This window comes from Homo sapiens, chromosome 2, assembly GCF_000001405.40.
Source record: "Homo sapiens chromosome 2, GRCh38.p14 Primary Assembly".
Taxonomy (NCBI): domain Eukaryota; kingdom Metazoa; phylum Chordata; class Mammalia; order Primates; family Hominidae; genus Homo; species Homo sapiens.
In genome coordinates this window covers 44,158,051-44,181,745 of record NC_000002.12, presented here as the reverse complement: position 1 = coordinate 44,181,745, position 23,695 = coordinate 44,158,051, and the positions used below count along the sequence as shown (strand labels likewise).

General features: G+C 42.5%; 1 protein-coding gene, 1 long non-coding RNA gene and 1 pseudogene across 9 annotated transcripts in view, besides 2 other annotated features; 1 reads left to right on the top strand and 2 right to left on the bottom strand.

The window, feature by feature from the left end:
• The window catches only part of PPM1B (protein phosphatase, Mg2+/Mn2+ dependent 1B), a 78,054-nt gene extending 65,183 nt beyond the window's left edge, over positions 1-12,871 (bottom strand). For all 6 annotated transcript variants that reach the window (XM_011532936.4, NM_177968.4, NM_001033557.3 and 3 more), the window contains exon 1: positions 12,472-12,871. The gene's annotated coding sequence lies outside the window, so the exon portion shown is untranslated. The remainder of the gene's footprint in view (positions 1-12,471) is intronic.
• Positions 12,311-12,520: a silencer, noted in NCBI's record as "silent region_11431". NCBI's record gives its function as "represses an Ori minimal core promoter by ATAC-STARR-seq in GM12878 lymphoblastoid cells {active_cell/tissue: GM12878}" and the evidence as "EXISTENCE:reporter gene assay evidence [ECO:0000049][PMID:35858748]".
• Positions 12,841-13,170: a silencer, noted in NCBI's record as "silent region_11430". NCBI's record gives its function as "represses an Ori minimal core promoter by ATAC-STARR-seq in GM12878 lymphoblastoid cells {active_cell/tissue: GM12878}" and the evidence as "EXISTENCE:reporter gene assay evidence [ECO:0000049][PMID:35858748]".
• Positions 12,954-20,562, top strand: PPM1B-DT (PPM1B divergent transcript). 3 transcript variants are annotated; one of them, XR_940034.3, is made up of 2 exons: positions 12,954-14,448; positions 20,400-20,562. It is a non-coding gene; the product is annotated as a PPM1B divergent transcript (long non-coding RNA). The 3 variants fall into 3 exon arrangements; XR_940035.3 differs by lacking the exon at positions 20,400-20,562 and adding an exon at positions 14,871-15,154; XR_940036.3 differs by lacking the exon at positions 20,400-20,562 and adding an exon at positions 14,840-15,154.
• On the bottom strand, positions 15,048-15,457 carry PDSS1P2 (decaprenyl diphosphate synthase subunit 1 pseudogene 2; annotated as a pseudogene).
• Positions 20,563-23,695: the final 3,133 nt, after the last annotated feature.

Genomic DNA, 23,695 nt, shown 5'->3' with positions numbered 1-23,695 from the left:
AATCAAAAACTTCATCTCTGCACCCAAGCCACCTTCATATGCCTACCCACCTATTTGTATTAGTAACAGCATTCCTCTAGTATTAATCCAGGACAGAAGCCATAAATCTTTTGATATATATTCAACCACCATTAAATCACTATGTTCCATCAATCTTGTTTTTCAGTGTCTCTCTCACCCTACCATCCTAATTTTAGCATCATCACATAATGCATTGATTATCTAACTTCTTCCTAGTGGATCTCCCTGACTTCAACCCCATCTTCCTCTAATCCACCTACAGATTATCATGAGCTTCATTTCCCTAAAACACACCTTAAATGTCCCTAAAAGATGCAGTGGTTTTTTACACCCTTATCAAGAACCTTCTCTAATTTGTCATGCCTAGGCTCTACACAGCTCAACTTCATCATGGTCATTCCCACCTCACAGTCAGTTTTTTCTACTTTATTTAGCTAGCCAAATCCTTCAAGGTGCCTGTGAAATAATATTTCCTAGGCTGGGTATGGTGCCTCATGCCTGTAATCCCAGCACTTCTGGAGGCCAAAATGGGAAGATCACTTGAGCACAGGAGTCGGAGACCAATCAGCTTGGGCAACATACTGAGACTCTGTCTATACAAACAATTTAAAAATTAGCCAGGTATGGTGACACACATCCGTGGTCCCGGCTGCTTGGGAGGCTGGGGTAGGACGACTGCTTGAACCTAGGAGATCGAGGCTGCAGTGAGCTGTGATCTGCACTCCAGCCTGGGCAAAAGAGCAAGTCCCTGTCTCCAAAACAAAACAAAACACTTCTTCCACCTTGATGTCATCCCAACTCTTCCTACCACCATCTCACCACTCCTATAAAATCATTTGGATTCCTTTTAACATTTTTGCTCTTCTTAGCTCCTTTCCCACCCTAATTCGTGACCTTGGCATCTAGTAGGTACTAAATAAAATATGTGTTAACTTAAAAGACACTTCTTAGCCAGGTATGGTGCCCCACGCCTGTAGTCCTAGCTCCTCGAGAAGCTGAGGCAGAAGGATAGCTTGAGCCCAGAAGTTTAAGGCTGCAGTGAGATATGATCACACTCCTGCACTCTAGCCTGGACAACAGAGTGAGACACCATCTCAAAAAAAAACAAAAGTAATTTAAAAAGATCCTTCTTCAAGAAAGAATGTCCTAGTTAAATTTTTCAACATTCCCAGAAATATTAAATTGGCAGAGACCTAAAAATCTATTGGAATGCTGATTAACCTCTATTATCCACTGCAACATTTACTAAGTACAAGCAGTCCTTGATTTCCAGCAATTTTATTTCTGCTGATTCATTTAAATCACCTAGCCAATTACACCTACTTACTGTGGACAGACGACACACTAATGAATTTATATTACTTGGTTTGTTTCCTGATGATGGGCATAGAGTATCCCCAACTCCCAAAGTCAGTCTATCCCTGTAGCCCTTTTTGAGAACATCTTTGGCTCTAGATCAGATCCATTCAGCCAACTCTTCCTAAGTGAGGAAAGAAAGATCAAGATTAAGCAAAACAAAGGGAGAAATATATGAAGGAAAAGAAATACATACAAAGGATTGTTTCCCTTAAGTATTAAGCAATTGCCTTGTTCCTACCCCTATTATTGCCATTCAAGTACTGTCCTTCCAAGCATTCATTTCAATCCAAATACACATTTTGGGGAATATTTTAAGAGTTGACTTGAGGTTAAAGTCTTTTTTTTTTTTTTTTTTTGGAACGAAGTTTCGCTCTTGTTGCCCAGGCTGTGGTGCAATGGTAGGATCTCGGCTCACTGCAACCTCTGCCTCCCGGGTTCAAGCGATTCTCCTGCCTCAGCCTCCTGAGTAGCTGGGATTACAGGCACCCACCACCACACCTGGCTAATTTTTGTATATTTAGTAGAGACGGAGTTTCACCATGTTGACCAGGCTGGTCTTGAACTTCTGACCTCAGGTGATCCACCCGCCTCGGCCTCCCAAAGTGCTGGGATTACAGGCATGAGCCACCATGCCCGGCCAGGTTAAAGTCTTTAATTAGCACCATCATTTTATAGACACACTAACATCTAAATCTAATATCTAATATCTAAAAACTCTTAAACACAATTAACAAAATAAACACCTGCATTCCAACGGCAAAGTAATTCCATATTTATGCCTGTAAGATTTTGTCATTAGGAAAACTAATAGGAAGATGGAAAATTAAAGTCAAAATAAAACACCATTTCTCTCTCCTTAGATTAAAAAAAAGAGAGAGAGAGAGACTCTCAATATCAAACACAGACAAGAACACAGAGCTTTGCTGTTTGGTATAGTAGCCACTAACCACTCGGGGCTAGTAGGAATGTTAAATGAGGCTAATGCTAATAGAGATTTGCTGTAAGTGTAAAATACACAATGGATTTTAAATATTTAATTTATTAGTACTTTTTCACACTGCAGATAAAGACATACCCAAGACTGTGCAATTTACAAAAGAAAGAGAGGTTTAATGGACTTTCAGTTCTATGTGGCCAGGGAGGCCTCATGATCACTGCTGAAGGCAAGGAGAAGCAGGTCACATCTTACATAGATGGCAGCAGGCAAAGAGAGAGCTTGTGTAGGGAAGCTCTCCATTATAAAACCATCAGATCTCATGAGACTTACTCATTATCATGAGAACAGCACAGGAAAGACCTGTCCCCATGATTCAATTACCTCCCATGGGGTCCCTCTCAGAACACCTGGGAATTCAAGATGAGACTTGGGTGGGGACACAGCCCAATCACACCATTTAATATTTTTTAAAAGAATGCAAAATATCTAATTAACTTCATTGTTTATATATTGAATCATTTTGGAAATACTGGATTAAATAAAATACATTACTAAAATTAACTTTGCCTATGTCTTTTTTATTAATGTGGCTACTAGAAAAATTTAAATTACCTTACATTTATATAGGACAGCACTAAATTAAAACAACAGAAACTTTTGGCTGGGCATGGTGGCTCATGCCTGTAATCCCAGCACTTTGGGAGGCCATGGCGGGAGGATCACCTGAGGTCAGGAGTTCAGACCACCCTGGCCAACATGGTGAAACCCCATCTCTACTAAAAATACAAAAAAATTAGCTGGGTGTGGTGGCAGGTGCCTGTAATCCCAGCTACTTCAGGAGGCTGAAACAGGAGTATCGCTTGAACCCAGGAAGTGGAGGTTGCAATGAGCCAAGATTGCATCATTGCACTCCAGCCTGGGTGACAAGAGCGAAACTCTGTCTAAAAAAAAAAATATATATATATATATATATATACATATATAAAATACACCACTGGTAGGAGTATAAATTAGTATAGCAACATTGGAGAGAATTTTGGAAATATCTAGTTAGGGCTATAAGATAAGGATGGCCTACAGTTCAGCCATTTTACTCCCTAGAGAAATTCTCGCATATATATATGGCATGTAAATGGTTTTAGACCATTGATTAAAATTACAAAAATAATCCAAATGTCCTTCCAAAAAAGACTAGACAAAATGTGTTCTAGCTGCCTGTGGTGGCTCACGCCTGTAATCACAACACTTTAGGAGGCCAAAGGAGGTGGATCACTTGAGCTCAGGGATTAGAGGCCAGCCTGGGCAGCATGGTGAAACCTCATCTCTACAAAAAAAACACAAAAATTAGCCAGATGTGTTGGTGCACGCCTGTAGTTCCAGGTATTTGGGAGGCTGAGGTGGGAGGATCACTGGAGCCTGGGAGGGCAAGGCTGCAGTGAGCCAAGATTGAGCCACTGCACTCTTGCCTGAGCAACAGAGCCGGACTGTCTTATTAAAAAAAAAAAAAAAAAAAGAACTGTTCTAATCATACAATGGAATACTATGCAATATATATGCAATACTATGGAAAAAAGGGACTAGAACAAAAAAAGAACTGCAAAAATATTAAGTGACAAGAACAAATTGTAAAAAAAAAAAAAATTCTGTATATGGTCATGTACATACACCTCTTAAAACAGTACTATATGCTATTTAGAAATACATACATGTAGGCCGGGCGCGGTGGCTCATGTCTGTAATCCCAGCACTTTGGGAGGCCGAGGCGGGCAGATCTTGAGGTCAGGAGTTCGAGACCAGCCTGGCCAACATGGTGAGACCCCTGTCTCTACTAAAAATACAAAAATTAGCTGAGCGTGGTGGCACGTGCCTGTAATCTCAGCTACTCACGAGGCTGAGACAGGAGAATTACTTAAAACCTGAAGGCGGAGGCTGCAGTGAGCCGAGATCATGCCACTACACTCCAGCCTGGGCAACAAGAGCAAAACTCCGTCTCAAAAAAAAAAAAAAAAAGGTTATTTCACTTTCACATTGCAATTCCAAACACTCCAGAACAGATGAATAGAAACAAACTCAATTTCCTTAAGTTTAGGACTAGCAACCACCAAAGACTTAATAAAATGTTAGATTATATAAACAAAACCAGTTACAAGAGATAATTTTTTTAAATTCAAGTAAGGTTGTTTTTGGTTATTTTTAAATCTAAGATAGATGGCCAAATGTTGAACAACTTAATGAATCTGGTCTGAATTACAGTACTAAATTTAATATATTCCAAAATTTCAAGTTCTCTTGCATATCAGCATTTTGATAAAGTAACAGAATTACAAAAATACATTAAAAATGAAACTAGGCCGGGCACGGTGGCTCATGCCTGTAATCCCAGCACTTTGGAAGGCTGAGGCGGGCAGATCACCTGAGGTCAGGAGTTTGAGACCAGCTTGGCCAACATGGTGAAACCCCGTCTCTACGAAAAATACAAAATTAGCTGGGCGTGGTGCCGCAGGCCTGTAATCCCAGCTACTTGGGAGGCTGAGGCAGGAGAATCGCTTGAACTGGGAGGTGGCGGCTGCAATGAGCCGAGATTGCACCACTGCACCCCAGCCAGTTGGTTGATTTGCTTTAAAATTAAAAAAATCAATCTTGATTCACTTTAGCAATGAAGATCAAATGAAACTGACTCATAAATGAAAGCACAAGACCACCAAGCATTAAAATAAGAACAAAAAGATGAAAGATCTTTTATGCTTAAGTTTGCAATGTTTGTATAAACTGAAGAAGAGGCCTCTTTACCAAACTGGTTCAGTAGGAAAGCAATAGAAAGAACAGAAAGCAAAAATTAAGCACCTGCTTCACACATCTAAGTGCAATACGCCCATCTCACATGCAGAAAAAACAAAGGCACGACGTTAAGTAATACAACAAAGCTATGGAAGGAGAAGCAGTGATAAATATATAGACCAAGTTGTGCACAATAAACCAAGAGACAAATTGGCTCCATTAGCCATCTTTGCTAAGAGCACAAAAGTAGCCATTACAAATCAGTACCAGGCACTATTGGTCAACCACTAATCCTTCAGCTATACTCACGTAAGAACAGAAAGCTTTTTAAACATAAATGACAACATATATTTTATAGGTATATCCCAATTATTTAAATCAGACTTAAAAAATCCTGTTCACCCTTCTCCTATTGTTCCACCTTTACTCCCATCCTCCTTTCCAGGAACTCATCTATCCAAGGATGTACAGTAAATGGAAACACCTGAAGGCCCCAAATTTCCCTCATGTCTGTCTAATGCAGGGATCTCTTTTTCTCTCTTTGGGTCATCTTTTAATCTTAAACCAGGCAGGGCATGGTGACTCACGCCTGTAATCCCAGCACTTGGGGAGGCCGAGGCAGGTGGATCATGAGGTCAGGAGTTCCAGACCAGCATGACCAACATAGTGAAACCCCATCTCTACTAAAAGTACAAAAATTAGCCAGGTGTGGTGGTGCATGCCTGTGATCCCAGCTACTCGGGAGACTGAGGCAGGAGAATTGTCTGAACCTGGGAGGCGGAGGTTGCAGTGAGCCGAGATCATACCACTGCACTCCAGCCTGGGTGACAGAGTGAGACTCCGTCTCAAAAAAAAAAAAAAAAAATCTCAAACCAATGTCTTTCTCTAAGGCACAACAATATTTCCTCTTTCCTCTTTTCAGTCTAGTTTTTATCCAATTACAGAAAACCTCTTCCTTTCCTTTTGTTAAAAATAGTAAAGCTCTAATCACAGCTTTTAAGTTTAGTGTACAAAACACACACACCCCAAATCTTCCACTCAAGTTTTTAAGCCAGCCACATAAGGAGTTCAGCTGTAATGTAAACTGTGAGTTGCTGGTTAACAGAATGCAAGATCGTCAACGACAAGGATTTGGGATTTTGTCTGTTTTGTTCAGATACTGGCATGAAATGGGGGCCTTTGCACACAGAAGGCACTCAGTGAACATAAGAATTGGCTGGAGGGTTACAGACTAAATACTATTAGACTGTTCTGAATTCTTTACTTCTCAGTGGGTTGGTAGCTCAGAGTAAATAAAAGCAGAAAGCCTCCCAAAGCTCAACAAAATCTCCTATATAATCTTAACATTTGGAGTGCTTTGAATTAATTATGTTCCCCCACCCCCACTTTTGTTTTTTTTGAGACGGAGTCTCACTTTTGCCCAGGCTGGAATGCAGTGGCGCGATTTCAGCTGGGTTGAACCTCCACCTCCTGGGTTCAAGCGATTCTCCTGTCTCAGCCTCCTGAGTAGCTAGGATTACAGGCACATGCCGCCACACCCAGCTAATTTTCTGTATTTTAGTAGAGATGGGGTTTCACCGTGCTGCCAGGCTGGTCTCGAACTCCTGAGCTCAGACAATCCGCCCACCTCGGCCTCCCAAAGTGCTAGGATTATAGGCGTGAGCCACCAGGCCCAGTCATGTCCTCTTTTTAAGGGACTAAGAAAGGCCACCTGTGTTCAACAGAAAATGCCATTTCCCCACCTCAGAGATAAATGCTTTAGTCAGAACAAGGAAAAGGAAAAACACTGCCCAAATAGGTTAAACACCCATGCTGACACTTCTAGATTCTCCTACTCATAAGAACATCCAGTAACCAGCCCTTTTCAATGCGAGGAGTGCTCTTGATACCTACAATCAAGAAAATAAAATGCGATTAGATTTAAAAATGAGTTGACATTACTCTCAGGCTTAAAAGCGCTTCGCAAGCCTTCAAACTCTTACAAATTACTCTACATATTATTGATCAGAACTGCTTCTTCTCTGGCAAACAACACTTATTCATTTGTTTTATTTTCTTGTATATTATACGTTTGAATCTACCTGATAACATAACTGCATTTTAAAAGTTTTCTATAAAAGACAAGGTTTTTTCCTATTTCTAGCACACAAATGTACTTTTCATTCACAACTGATTCTGAAGTGAAGGCCATTCTACGTAGACAATAATCACAGCAATCCTAGAGACAAGTCTTATCCTCCCTATATCACTACCAGTAATTGGTACCATCTCTAAGAGAAAGACAAGTTCCTTAATAGTCAATACATGGCTTCCAAAGTTTGTCTGTCTCCTCTAAGTATGAGATCGGATTTAACTGGATCTTCTTTTGTTCACAAGGATGCAAAACAATTTTCCAAGAAGTGTTATGTTTCTAAACTTTAAGATTTTTAATTTTCAAGAAATGAATCAATTTAAAGCTAAAAAATAGAATACTGATGATACTTAAACATTCTCCAAGAGAAAAGTTTGAATCCATTTTATATTTACAAGTTAATATTAAACTGTGTGATAAATCAAAAGTTTTAAATTAGTAAAGTGTGTTTTAAATGTTATAAACCATGTCAAATGTATAATATATGAACTAACAAATTAAAATACTACAATTGATTAAGCTACAAGGTTCTTGAGGTTAAACAAGTTATTACAAAGAGTATTATTATTTTTGTTTCGAGACAGGGTCTCACTCTTTCGCCCAATCTGGAGTGCAGTGGCGTGATCTTGGCTTACTACAACCTTCACCTCTCGGGTACAAGCAATTCTCCACCACAGCCTCCGGGGTAGCTGGGACTACAGGCATGTGCCACCACACCCGGCTAATTTTTGTATTTTTTGGTAAAGACAGGGTTTCATCATGTTGGCCAGGCTAGTCTCGAACTCCTGACCTCAAGTGATTCACCAACCTCGGGCTCCCAAAGTACTGGGATTACAGGCATGAGCCACTGTGCCCGGCCATGAAGAGTATTATTATAAAAGGTATATGTTATGCCAAGCAATAACAAGATATTGTAGATGTGATTAGTTATAGTAAAACAAAAAGAAAAAAATGTATTTAAGCACTCTTCTGTGTCATGGTTTACCATTAATTCAGAAGTAAAGTGTTTATGGTTGTTATTAAAGTTAAACCAAAGGGGAGAAATAAAGCACCCTGTAATTTGAAGGAAAACTACGAAGTATGAGATCTCGAGGGGCAAAAAAGAAATGAAAAAAGAAAACTAAAAAGAAAAAAAGTATATAAGTTATTGTACAGTATTTATGTTTCCTAGGATGTTATATGTTACTAAAAACTAAATCTCAAAATCTTTAAATACTCTGAGAAATAAATACACTATATAGATTACACTTTTGGAAAATTTTGTAACATCATCAAGAATTTAGTAAAGGGTTCTTTTCACCATAACGCTGATTCCAGTATCTGGTCTGTTAGTCTTTTTTGGCCGGCCAGTACACCTGGCTAAATTCTGTATTTTTAGTAGGGACTGGGTTTTACCACGTTGGCCAGGCCAGGCTGTTCTCAAGTGATCTGCCTGCCTTGGCTTCCCAAAGTGCTGGGATTATGGGCGTGAGCCACCACGCCTGGCCACGCTTGTTAGTCTTCTAGGTAGTCTTTAAGAAAAGGAATATGGATGGAAATGTTCAAAAGTGTCAATCATCTCAAATCAAATGGACACAAAGAGATTAAGTCACATCAGAATTTTTTAAAAAATAGAGGCGTGGTTTCACTCTGTCATCCAGGCTGGAGCAAACTGGTGCAATCACAGCTCGCTGCAGCTTTGACCTCCCTGGCTCAAGCGATCCTCCCACCTCAGCCTCCCAAGCAGCTAACTACAGGTGCACACACCACCAAGCCCAGCTAACTTTATTTTTTGTAGAGACAGGGTCTTGCTATGTTGCCCAGGCTGGTCTCAAACAATCCATCTGCCTCAGCCTCCCAAAATGTTGGGACAGGAGTGAGCCACTGTGCCCGGCCTAGAAACATTTTACTTGTAAAGATTCTAAAATGGCTTTAGCATACTTAAATTAATCCAAAAGATGAAAACCCATTTTTTTAACTCAATGTATTGATGTAAGTAAACACCAACAAAAACAAAGAAAAAATACACATTATGAAGCTCATGTACCTTTTTCTTCACCTGTTCTTGTTAGATCAGCCACTAGAAGCTGATGATCAGTTCTGTCATTCTGCAAATTTTATGACAGCCAACTACAAACTACAAAAATTAAATAGTTCCCAAAACTCTATTTCACCATCAATGTTTGAGTATAGCATAGTGAAATGTCAGTACACTTAACCATCAATTCTGCTAATATACGATACATTTTACAATAAAACTTTAAAGCTGCTAATATAATAGCAGTATTCCATTTCATTCCAATTCTGAAATTAATTCAGCAAGGGAAAAACAAAAAGAAATCAGGTACAGTGTGAAGAATAACTGAAAATTCAGGAATATCATACTCCTGAAAATTATCTTACCATAATCATGATTTCACATTTTATGCTATTACTTGAATAAATTTTGCTATTATAATTTTGGATTAAACAAACTTTTATTATTCTGATGCCACCAGTTATTTGTTTGCTAATTTTTACTAAAATCAGTGAATTGTGAAAGGCATATTTCACAGAAAATATAAAATACTGTATGTTGCATTTTTAAAAGCGAGAGTTAGAATTATACTACTTAACTACTTTCTATGCTAGGTAATGTCACAAAATACTTTAAAATAGTTACATATAAAAATATTCATGAAATACAGCTTTTTTTTTTTTTTTTTTTTTTTGAGACAGAGTCTTACTCTGGCACCCAGGCTAGAGTGCAGTGGCACAATCTCGGCTCACTGCAACCTCCACCTCGTGAGTCCAAGTGATTCTCCTGCCTCATCCTCCTGAGTAGCTGGGATTACAAGCACGCGCCACCGCACCTGGCTAATTTTTGTATTTTCAGTAGAGATGGTGTTTCACCATGTTGGCCAGGCTGGTCATGAACTCCTAACCTCAAGTGATCCACACGCCTCAGCCTCCCAAAGTGCTGAGATTACAGGCATGAGCCACCGCACCTGGCCTATATAGCCTCTTTTTAATGAATCACCACAATCACTAAGTGATACCGTGGCCAATTCTAAGCTTCCAAGACTGCCAAGACATAATCAGCATCATATTTTAATTCAAAAGATTCCATAAAAAATGTTTGTTATAGAAAAGATAACTTTCAACAAGAGCCACTTTTTCTGACCCTGTCAACCTGTGAATCAGCTGTTCTTAGAAGCACAGTTACTTGGACACTACACTATTCCTTCAGATGATGTAATCTTAAGGAATTTAGTAATTAGGTGAATTACTAACATAAAACAGTATTTACTGACATGACTAAATTGAAAGGCCTTTCACCTATTCCTAGAGTCTTCACAGAAATCAGACACCCAGTGTAAGAAAACGGTGTTGAAAGCTCTGCTGGTCACTTCAAAGAGAACAATCACTTCAACAAATCCAGAGGATAATGTACTAGAAACTGGGGAAATCTTACAGTATGAAAGCTCAAATAAAAATACTCGTGCTAATATACAGCAACAAAAAGAACCACTGCAGAAACTGTTGTAAGACTTCATGAGAGCAAAAACAAATGAAGAGGCGAAAACACAACAACCATTAAGACAAAAAAAAAGACAAAGAAGGCATTGAGAGAAGAAGCACAAAATAAAGATTATCCCTGAAAATGTGTGGACTAAAATATTCTGTTCTAAATACTTAATTTTAAAATTTCGATTAGAACAACACACTGTCCATTTGGCAGACCTACAAAAACATTTCCTTAAAAAATTACCATTACTTCAACTATATTTTTAAAAGGCCTGTACACTTGGAAAAGACTATCATAATAATTAGAATAACTTGTCTCACTATTTACTTAGAAATGCCCCATTTAAAAGTAGGCCAACAATAGGAACTTTGCTATTGCACAACAGAGAAAGTAAATGAAATAACATCTATTAACATTCAGCGTCCATGGCATGTTTCTCCATCTCCTAGAACATACTGTGACTTACACTGTCTACTCTGAACAATTTACCACTTCTTCATCCATGCAGTAGCTCAAATAAAGACAGTTCCTGTGTTAATCCCACAGTAAGCCTCAGTAATTCTCACATCACCGTAGTTGTAAACGTTTGTTAACAGAAAAAGAATGTTTTTCCTAAAATAGCTACATAACACTAAGACTACTCAAATTCCTAAATAATCCTTTTACAACATGCCTGCCAACTTTATTTTGATACATTAAACATGTGGAGCCTATTTTAAAAGCTCTTTAACTGTGACTATCAAAACAACTTCCCAGTTATTAACGTCTCTTTTTAAAAAAGTTTTCAAGTTGTTCTTAGAAGAAATTGAATATTGATGAATTTGGGCTGCTATCAAACGCCTAAGAAGCACTTTTTTTGCCGAATAAGATGGGCAAACGTCCCAGATCTGCTAAATCTGATATGAGAGGTCATGCAAGTTTAAAAAATGAAGAAATAACTATTTCCAACACTCACTGAGTCCTTCATTTAAAAAATTATTTTCGGTGTTATTTTCACACTTTACGTTTAATAATACAATTTTTTCAAGGTTGTTAGGCTTAAACTATGAAAAACTGATTTACCACATATGGCTAGTCAGTCTATACTCTTAATGGGGCTCCGGTAGATTTGGGGTACTGACAATAAGTGGCAGTTTCAATTAAGAACTTCACTGTTAGGAATGACATCCGAAAAGGATGGTGCTAGGGAAGACAGGCAAGAGATGCCGGGGTACGAAGAAAAGAGAAACACACAATTTAAAGCCACTAAGGAGGGAAGGCGAGGGTAGAACGCATAGACAGCAGAGAAAGACGATTTAACAAGGAAGTGAAGTGGAGCGCAGAGTAGGGCAGAAGCTGATGAGGAAACGAATGGTAAAAGATAGTGTTTTCAAACAGGGCATGCACCAGGAAGAGAAGCGCCAAGGCTTGGGGTAGCCCCAGTGCTTTCGTGTGAAAGAGATGCTTGCAGACTGAAGCGGAGGGAAGAGAGAATCAGTCAGCTTCCAGGCGTTCCAGCAAACTCCCATTCTCTCCCTGCGCCTCTCCCAGACCTCAGCCCAGCGGAGGCGGCGGCCGGGGAAGGGGCCTATACCCGAGAGCCAGGCCCGGCGTTCCCCTGCCTAGGCTCCGCGGCAGCAGGGAAAGCAGCGAGGATTCGGAAGGACAGAGGCCCCGGCCGCGGCTCGGCAGCACCGCGAAAACCTGCCCAGGGCCCGGGGCCTCGGCGGCGCGGCCGGTCAGCCGCTTCCCCTCCGGCGGGGTGCCGGGCGGCCTTACCTGAGGCAAGGGAGGGAGAAGATGTCTAGGGCGCCTCGCTCGCGCCCGCCGCGGTACTCAGCCCAAGTTTCCAACGGAGGCGCGACCCTGACTCAGCCGCCGCTTCCCCCTCGGGGTCTCGACCGCCGCCTCCGGGGCTGTTTACACCGCCCGGCCCCTCACGCCGCCGCCGCCGCCGATGCCGCCTTCTCTCCACCCTAGCGCCGTTGCCGATTCGGCCGCCGCCACCTCCTCCGCCGCAGCCTCGTCTCTCTGGAGCATCTTCCAACCACCGAACCCTGAGAATCAGAGACTCCAGCCGCGCCGGCAGGAAACTCCCCCGCAACTGCTAGGGGAACGAGGCCGTCAGAGCACCGGCGGCTTTTCCGCCATTGAGCAGAAGCCGCTCGGCTCCTTTTGCAACCCCCTCCCCGCACCCTAGTCCTTCCCCGCCCCTCAGGGTGCCCCGCCTCCAGCTGCCACCCACTGGGATGCCGCGCGCCCTCTCACGGCCCCCGGTTTGCTGGGAGTCTTGTCAATCACCGCTCCCCCTCCCCGTGCTGCTCCCTCGGCACCTCCGTACTTCGTTTACCCCGCCCACCCGGCCCCGCCTCTGGGTTTCTAATTTCCCATTGGGCATCAGTGGCTACTTTCAATAGGCAAGGTCAGCTGTCCATCAAACACCGCCCACTAAGTGAGACCCAACCCTTTATTACCATTTACTTTATTCGGCCCCGCCTCCGCTAGGTCCTACCTCCCGAACGTCAGGGACCAGCCCCCGCTACCAGCCATAAGTAGAGCCCTCCGTCAATCAAATAACGCCCACCTGCGCTCCTCCTAGCAAAGCCCCGGCCCCAGCGATTGTCTTTTCTTATTGGTCCAACTCGTGATCCGAACCCCCAGTCACTGGCTTTCTTGCGGGTCAGTCACTGAGCCAATTTCCAAGTCCGTCACACCGGCTTTTTTCAAATGAACGCGCAAAAGGCGGGGAAGTATCTGGAAAGCGATTGGTTCGTCCTAGAAAACGGTCAAACCCGGAGAGTCTGTACGGATCCTTTCCGTTCTGTGAGGACCGTGCCCCCTTGTATTTGACCTCTAAGCCTCGCGTAAAAGAAGCGCCATAAGGGACCAACGAGCAGTCCAGCTATAGGTGTGGACGCCTGGTCCCACCCGGAATTGCAGGGGCTTGGCTACTGATTGGCTAAGAAAGTCCTCCTAGGCCCTCATTGGAGGATCTAAACGCCTCTCTTCGGCGTGGAGACGGGAAGGGACGACTCAGACGAGGACAAGAAGTGGGCAGGGGAGAGGCGGTTGTTTTGCTTCAGCCGCGGGTGGGGCGCAGGCGAGAGTGGGAAACTGGGAAGGCCGGGCTCTGGGGAGGTGTTGCGGGGAGGGGAAAGGCCCGGATGTTCCCTAACAATGAAATCATCGCCGACCTATCAGAGCCGCCGAGCTGGGATACCTGCCTGACCTGTACCCCGGAGGGAGAAGAGTGGGCGGGAAATTGGGGTGTCGGAAGAACCTGGAAAGCAACGTGAGAAAGTGGGACAGGTGTTCCCTTCAGGAGGATTTTGTGCTATTAGAGATTATTTTTATACCAGCCCTTGACATTTCCGTATTTTGTTTCTCAGTCGGCATTGATATTAAAACTCCCAGCCTAGTCTCTTGACATGGACTTGTTCATTTCGCAGTTATTGAGCGCCTACTGTTTGCCAGGTACTGTATGTAGAACTGGAGATACAAAAATAAATTAGGCAATCGCAGTACAAGATGATAGGTACTACAATTGAAACATGCACAAGGGCTGGTGACGACATAAAGGGTCTTCCTTGTGCATAGGTTTACCAAGAAAGGCTTCACAAAGACACAGGATGAGTCAAGAATGAATGATAGGGGTTTAACAGGCCGATGGGGAAAGTGGACATGACTCCTCCAGCTATCAAATTAGACGATGCTGCCATGTTAATTCTCCAAACGAGAAACAAAAGTGTAATAGAGGTATTCTAATACTTACCTTAGGATATATATATATATATATATTTTTTTTTTAATCCGAATGTCCTAAAAGAACTTAAACCTATTTCCTACTTTGGTGTAAAATGGTTTGGGCAGACAATTTAAGCTTAGACCCAACAGAGTGCTATTCAGGTTAGGGGCTGTCAATGTTTTATAGAAAAGGGCAAATTTAGTAATAGGACAATTGTCCAGGCCGTCATAAGGACGGCAGAAACAAAGACTTAATTGCAATTCGGGTTTTTTTGTTTTTTGAGCAAGCATATTTTACTTTTTAATAAGACAAATCTGAAAAAGCAAACGCGGTCCAAAAAGCATGTGATTCGGTAAGAGAGATTTTAAAAAACCAAAAAACCGTATCTTCTTTTCACCCCAGATCTTATTAACTGTGTGTTTTCCTCTTCGAGAACTTGTATCGTCAATAACGTCATCGTGAACCAGACTAGCAGTGTGGATCATTTCTGCAATTAAGGCTATGGCGCGGTGGCTGGCTTGCACATGTCAAATTAACAGACAGCAATGCTTTTTAACAGACGCCGCCTAGAACCTTCTCAGCAATCAGCTTGTGAAAATTGGACATCGGATCGGGAGTTGTTATGATGGATATTACATGCTCGGGCCATTAGCACCCCAATAATTGGTCGAAAGGCTTTTCCTTTTCCATCAAAGTAGTACTCAGACATTTCCTGAAGTTCTGTTGTTGATATGAGCAGTTCCTTTCTAATGTCCTCATACAGACCTTTCAAGTCTCTGCAACCGAATTTGAAAGGATCGGTGATCTGTATATTTCTCACCACTGTGTGTTTTACTGTCCGGGGTTGTGTGATAAAACCGTGATATACTGTATACATTTGGACAGGCAGATGTTAAGCGCTTCACAAGACTAAAATAGGGTATCTGAGACAAGCCGAATCCCTTCCGCCTATGAGCCTGAGCGCGGGCGCCGGCAGCGGCGCGCGGCCCTGGAGGCCCTGCAAGGCCGGGGGAGCCGGGCACACCGCCACCAGCGTGAGGCCATGGTCGGAGACTGAAAGTCGCGGCAGGGTGGCGGCTCCGCCTCTGCAATTCAGATTTTTAAAACCTACTCATCAAGTTTGTGTGAGAATGGTGTTTCTTACAGCATGGTGAATAGACCACCAGCATCCGAATCATCTGGGATTCTGGGATAGAGATTCCCAGGTCCACTCATGCCTACAAATCAGGGACTCTGGGGACAAGGCTCAGAAAGGTGAATTTTAAAATAGCTCCCCAGATGATTTTTTTTTTTTTTTTTTTGAGACGGAGTCTCACTCTGACGCCCAGGCTGGAGTGCAGTAGTGCAATCTCGGTTCAGTGCAACCTCCGCCTCCCAGGTTCAAGTGATTCTCCTGCCTCAGCCTCCCGAGTAGCTGGGATTGCAGGCACCCACCACCACGCCTGGCTAATTTTTGTATTTTTAGTAGAGACGGGGTTTCACCATGTTGGTCAGGCTGGTCACAAACTCCTGACCTCAAGTGATCCTCCCGCCTCAGCCTCCCAAAGTGCTGGGATTACAGGCGTGAGCCACCGCACCTGACCTGCAGATGATTTTTATGCGCATCAATGTTTGAGACCCTCTGGCACAGGATAATGGAGGCAGATGTAAAGTAAATTAATTTCCTCACTTTTGCATGTTGGGAGAACATATGTATATCTCACATTTCCACTGTCCCCTTTATTATCAGCGTGAGATCATACAGTCCGCAGGAAGTATTATTGAAGTGACTTATAAAAAAATTAAATTTTCTTTAATCACACTCCATTGCCTGACACCCCTTATGTAAGCAGAAGGGAGTCTGAGACCTCAGCTTCTAAAATGGGAACCATGCTAAGGATAAAAAACTGAAGACATTTAGGGACCCTTGTCCTGTGAATACAAGCAACTACAGAAAGGCATGAGAACAGTTTCTTGGCTTGCTTGACTTCCTTCTCACCTTCCCTTGGTTGACCCAAAAACAAATACAAAGCTCAGTCATTTAGGTGGGCTGATAATTCCATATCATTCATACTTTCAATCACCAAGAGCAAAAAAAAAAAAAGTATGGAGACACCCCAGAACAGATTTGAAGGTTAACTTTGTTGTATGCTTTATTTGCTTAAAATACTAAACCATTAAAGAAAGCCCAACAAGAGTCACAACTTTGAAAACTGCTGTTTACCATCATAAACATAATGTGTCATAAACCCTGAGTACCATCATAATGTGCTCTGCTACGAACTAGCTGTGTGACTTGAGCTAGTAACTAAGCTATCTGAGCCTTGGTTTGTTCTGCAAAATGGGAATCGTAACATCTTTCTCCAGAGCCACATGAAGAGTTTTAGAGTCTCTTAGTAATGCAAATCATTCCCCAATATATAGTTTTAAATAAAAACAATATTAAATGTAATGTAGAAAAAGTTGGGTGAGGAAATCACATGATCACCCCTAGCTGCAAGGGAGCCCAAACAATCAGGGAACTGCGAGGTCACAAGTTGCTTAGAGCAGAGATTCCCAGTCTTTACCAAGCATCACAATCTCTTTAGATGTCATTTATACTCACCACTCTTTTGAAATTATTATAATTATTATACTCATCACTAGATCTTGTTATTTCATGCATTAATAAAGAAGCATAGGCTGGGCGTGGTGGCTCATGCCTGTAATCCCAGCACTTTGGGAGGCTGAGGCGGGTGGATCACGAGGTCAGGAGTTTGAGACCAGCCTGGCCAACCTAGTGAAACCCCGTCTCTACTAAATACAAAAATTAGCCAGGTGTGGAGGCACGTGCCTGTAGTCCCAGCTACTCGGGAGGCTGAGGCGGGAGAATCACCTGAACCTGGGAGTCGGAGGTTGCAGTGAGCCGAGACCATGCCATTGCACTCTGGCCTGGGTGACAGAGTGAGACTCTGTCTCAAAAAAAAAAAGAAGCATATCACAAATGTACTTGTTTCATAACTGTCTTTAATTATAATTGGTTTTCCTTTATAATCTTAATGAGCTTTATGTATTTTTAAATGTTATTCTGAGAAGAAATCCACAGGATTCACCAAAGGGACCCTTTGCCCAAAAAAAGGCATGGAGGAGGTCGTACCCCTGCTGTGGACTATAACCTCCAATTCAGCAAGGACATCGTTTCTTTTGTTGTAAATCATACACAATAGATGCTTGATAAGTATTTCTTGAATTGCATTTGGAGGATCTCAAGTAGTTTGCTGGACATTTTTCCTTTTCTCAGTTCTACGACCTGAAGCCTGGGCCTGTCCCCCAACCCTGCTTCCTCCTTAGAGAGGAAGTTGATCAAGCTATCACCATCTTACATGCAATCCCCACAGCCTAGGAGGCCAAAACTGGCTTCCTCAGAACCAGATCCTCCTTTGTGTTTTAAAGTGAGTGTCATACACATAAGATGATTGAGATTATGATTATAACACAGTGGGTGGTATCAGGAAAACTATTCACATGGAGCCCAACTATAAATGGTGCAACATTACTAAATGTTTAAATATGCTTGGCTGTGGAAAACTCTAATAACAGCCATTTGTGTAAGCAGTTTAGCATTTATGCCCAAATTCATTTACATTATTCATTGATTTTGTTATTTTTTTTTTTACAATAAAGTATACATTTCTGCCAACTCTTCATCTTTGCTTTATCATAGCATTGCCATTTGCTCATCCAATGTGGTGGTTTGCTCATGCTTCAAAAACCTAAAGGCAACATTGCGCTACTTTTCCCTTATGTTCCTTCCACATCTGCAGCAACTCTTCCTGTTTGCTTGTCTGAAAGCTCTTTTTCTCCTGCTAGTGAAACTGTGCTCGGCCGGGCGCGGTGGCTCACGCCTGTAATCCCAGCCCTTTGGTAGGCCGAGGCTGGCGGATCACAAGGTCAGGAGATCAAGACCATCCTGGCTAACATGGTGAAACCCCGTCTCTACTAAAAACACAAAAAATTACCTGGTTGTGGTGGTGGGCGCCTGCAGTTCCAGCTACTCAGGAGGCTGAGGCAGGAGAATGGCGTGAACCCAGGAGGCGGAGCTTGCAGTGAGCCGAGATTGAGCCACTGCATTCCAGCCTGGACGACAGAGCGAGACTCCATCTCAAAAAAACAAAAAAGGAATCTCAGCGGACTCACCATGGAGCAGACATCAAGGAGATGAACATAGGAGTAAAATCACAAGTCTATTATTCGACAAGTATGCAGGGATATAGTTGTAGGAAACCTGCAAATCGAAAATTCTTGGTGAAAGAGTCATGCAGGACTTCAGTGCAATTAGTTTAAAAGGTTTCATATTGGGCCGGGTGGCTCACGCCTGTAATCCCAGCACTTTGGGAGGCTGAGGCGGGTGGATCACCTGAGGTGAGGAGTTTGAGACCAGCCTGGCCAACATAGTGAAACCCCATCTCTACTAAAAATACAAAAAAATTAGCTGGGCGTGGTGGCAGGTGCCTATAACCCCAGCTACTCAGGAGGCTGAGGTAGGAGAATCGCTTGAACCTGGGAGGCAGAGGATGCAGTGAGCCGAGATTGCGCCATTGCACTCCAGCCTGGGCAACAAGAGCGAAACTCCGCCTCAAAAAAAAAAAAAAAAAGAAAAAGGTTTTGTATTAAGGCCCATATTTAATGTCCTTTACATAGAGGCCTAATTCTGGCAAGTAAGCAGAGATCCTCGCAATTAGGTAACTGGTCTGGAGGCAGGTAACTTATCAGGACCTGGGCATAGGAAGATTGGAGATCAGGGTTGAAAAGTTCAGGCTCTGAGGCCAGATAGAAATGGTTACAGGAGAGGATGCAAGAGACTCCCAGCTGAGTTACCAGAACCAACCAGCAGCAAAAACGGCTGGAAAATGAGCCAGTAAGAGGGCACACTAGGGCTTCTTATTGTCTCCCCGCCTGGGACCAGAACTTGTCCCAAAATATGGGGGTAGATATAAACCTTCTACAAGGGTTGAATTACAAGTCTACCGAGAGGTTGGGGACCAAGGACAGGGGGCTCCTTCATATTGAGAGAGAGTTTGCAAAGCCTCTGGGATTGAATTTGTTTTTTTCAAACCATTTTATTCCAAATTTCAGACACACACAAAACTAGAGAGTAGTATTATATAATATACCCTGTGTACCTATCACATAGCTTAAACAATTCTGAACATTTTGTTTTATTGCTTCAAACATCCCTCCCACCAATTTTTTTAAGGTTCAGTTTTTAGTCTGCTGATTTTGATATCTTCCTTGGAAATGTGTCCCATTCTCATGACTTCAACTACTGCCTCAATGCATCTGAGCTCCAAGTGTGGAGCACCAGCTCCATCCTCTTGATGTGTCCTCAGCTACCTACTGGATTTGTCCATTTCAACATCCCATGGCACTTCTCTCCTATTGGTTGCCTTCTTGGCAGCCCCCCTAAATCGATCTTGTATCCCGCTATAGAGCCTCACTTAATTGAGGTATGCTCTGGGGGAGACTGAGCTGCTCTCCAGCCCCAGAGATTAATCTTACTCAGTCTAAGCTATCTATGATAATATCATTCCCCCTTTCGGGTGATTGGTTTAGGAATGTGCATGCGAGGCAAGTCAGGCTAATGACACTTGATAGGGAATATGCTGGAGGTGGAGGATCCTGAATAGTTCCTCATAATCCTCGTAAGAATAGTTCCTCATAATCCTCATAAGAATGAGGACTATGAGAAAAGATACCCACTCTTCCTTTCTTGGACCCAGATTCCTGCAGCATATCTCAGTGATGCCACTCACTACCTAGTGACTCTGGGCAAATTATTTAATATCCCTGTACCTTGGTTTCCTCATCTGTAAAACAGGATAATAGAACCAACTCATAGGGTTGCTGTGAGGACCAAAAGAATTAATATATGTAAAGTACTTAGAGCAGTCTTTTGCTTATCAAAACTACTGTGCAAATTTTAGCTATATTATTATTTTGTAAGGATGTGATGCTTGCAGCTATGACAGCCATTTGTGACCATGAAGGGACCAAACTAGAGGACAAAGAGCAAGTCACTATGCATGAAAGAGTGAAAATGTGGAAAGGACCTTCACCATTGATGATACTGTCAAGCTATTGAATTAAACAACCTTGGAACCACTCTACTCTTGAATTTCTCATTAAGCGTGATAGTAATTTTCCTTATTTTATGTGCCTCTTTTGGTTGAATTTTGTTTTCTTTTTTTTTTTTTTAAACAGGGTCTCCCTCTGTCGCCCAGGCTGGAATGCAGTGGTGCGATCTCCACTCACTGCAACCTCTGTCTCCCGGGTTCAAGCAATTCTTCTATCTCAGCCTCCCAAGTAGCTGGGACCATGCTTAGCTAATTTTTGTATTTTCAGTAGAGATGGGGTTCACCATGTTGGCCAGGCTGGTCTTGAACTCTTGACCTCAAGTGATCAGCCTACCTCAGCCTCCCAAAGTGCTGGGATTACAGGTGTGAGCCACTGTGCCCAGCATTTTTGGTTGAATTTTCTGTTACTTGCAACCAAAAGCATCCTGATTGATACATACACCCTAAACCAAAATTTCTCTTCCCAAAGCTCACTCTAGTTTATTACCTCTGTCAAGACATAACAGTTTCCCCATTCAGCCTCCTATATAATTCCCCATATCTAGCCAGTTTTATCAATGTTTCCTTCCAACTTTTTCATTCTCTCCACTAAAAAAATTACTGTTAGTGGCAAAACCAAAATAAAGTAGTCCAGCTAGGGTGGGCACAGTGGCTCACGCTTATAATCCCAACACTTTGGGAGGCCAATGTGGGCGGATCACAAGGTCAACAGATGAAGACCACCCTGGCCAACATGGTGAAACCCCACTCCTACTAAAAATACAAAAATTGTCTGGGCATGGTGACACACGCCTATAGTCCCATCTACTCAGGAGGCTGAGGCAGGAGAATTGCTTGAACCCGGGAGGCGGAGGTTGCAGTGAGCCGAGATCATGCCACTGCACTCCAGCCTGGTGACAGAGTGAGACTCCGTCTCAAAAAAAAAAAAAAAAATTGTCCGGCTAATGCCTTGAAATTGCCCTCATTATCTTTGAAGTGGAAAGATAAAATAAGACATTAAAGATTAAAAGAATAATTCTTGGCCAGGTGCGGTGGCTCATGCCTATAATCCCAGCACTTTGGGAAGCCAAGGTGGGTGGATCACCTGAAGTCAGGAGTTCAAGACTAGCCTGGCCAACATGGTGAAACCCCATCTTTACTAAAAAATACAAAAATTAGCCAGGCATGGTAGCGGGTGCCTGTAATCCCCGCTACTGGGGAGGCTGAGGCAGGAGAATCGCTTGAATCTGGAAGGCTGAGGTTGCAGTGAGCTGAGATCGTGCCATTGCACCCCAGCCTGGGCGACAAGAGTGAAACTCCGTCTCAAAAAAAGAAAAAAAGAATAATTCTTTTCAGGCTGGGCATAGTGGCTCATGCCTGTAATCCTAGTCCTTTGGGAGGCCAAGGATGGGGGATCACTTGAGCCCAGGAGTTTGAGACCAGCCTGGGCCACACAACGAGACCCAGTCTCTACAGAAAACTTAAAAATTAGCCAAGTATGATGATGCACACCTGTGGTCACAACCACTCTGGGGGCTGAGGCAGGAGGATTGCTTGAGTCTGGGAGTTTGAGGTTACAGTGAGCTATGATTGCACCACTGCACTCTAGTCTAAATCACAAAGCGTAATCCTGACTCAAAAAAAAAAGAAAAATTCTGGCCGGGCGTGGTGGCCATGTCTATAATCCCAGCACTTTGGGAGGCCAAGGCAGGCGGATTACCTGAGTTCAGGGGTTTGAAACCAGCCTGGCCAACGTGGCGAAACCCCGTCTCTACTAAAAATACAAAATTAGCCAGGCATGGTGGCGCACACCTGTAATCCCAGCTACTCGGGAGGCTGAGGCAGGAGAATCACTTGAACGTGGGAGGCGGAGGTTGCGGTGAGCCGAGATCATGCCATTGCACTCCAGCCTGGGCAACAAGAGTGAGACTCTGCCTAAAAAAAGACAAAAAAAAAAAAAAAAATTCTTCAGAAAAGATAACTATTGAGTACTGGGCTTAATACTTGGGTGATATAATAATATGTACAACAAACCCCCTTGACATGTTTAGCTATGTAACAAACCTTCACACGTATCCCAAACTTAAAATAAAAATTAAAAAATGATTATTTTCAGAGTACTATTTAGAAAACGATGCAAAATGGATAGACTAGGTGAGAAAATTCTCTACGTAGATTTATATTTATCACTATATCTTAAGGTTAAATTTGACCCAGTAAATAGCTATAGAGAGGGAGAAAGCCATCTGCCAAAGCTTGTTTTTCATTGTATTATTTTGGAACTCAATTGTCTATCAATAAATTGGGATGGGCACAGTGGCTCATGCCTGTAATCCCAGTACTTTGGGAGGGAGGCTGAGGTGGGCAGATTGCCTGAGGTCAGGAGGCCGAGACCGGCCTAGCCAACATGGTGAAACCCTGTCTCCACTAAAACTACAAAAAATTAGCTGGGCATGGTGGTGCACACCTGTAATCCCAGCTACTTGTGAGGCTGAGGCATGAGAATCGCTTGAACCTGGGAGGCGGAGGTTGCAGTGAGCCAATATCATGCCACTGCACTCCAGCCTGGGCGACAGAGCAAGAGTCTGTCTCGAAAAAAAAAAAACAATAAATTGAGTATAATTTTCAAACTCTATCATAGTTATGTCTATCCACGAAGGACAACTATTTTGGTGATTTTGTAATACCAAATCATACAATTTATAGCAAGGATATACACCAAATAAAGGTCATTGTTCATAATTTTATAGGTCAATTTTATAATTATAATAATTTCATAAGTCATAAAAGCATGTATTTATATTTTTGTTACTTTCTCCTGGACATGTTTCTTTGTGTGCTTTAGAAGATTACATACAACCACTGAAACAATTTTCTTTTACGATAACTTTGCAGTGTTACTTTTATTTACTTACTGTGGGGTGATTATATTATAAAGTTAAGCACTTTTGTGAATTTCAGTTGCTACATGAATATGCACATTTGTTCATATTTGGGCAACTGTATTATGGTTTGTTTGCTATTAATCACCATCATTCAGGACAATATAGAATAACCAACATAAAGTATTAGACATGATTGCTAGATTTTTTGCAAAATACTTTCTCAATGGGGACAAACAGCTGAATGGCCCCAGGAAACCTAATCTCTGTATCTCAAGCTGAAGTGAGTGAAAGTATATTGGATA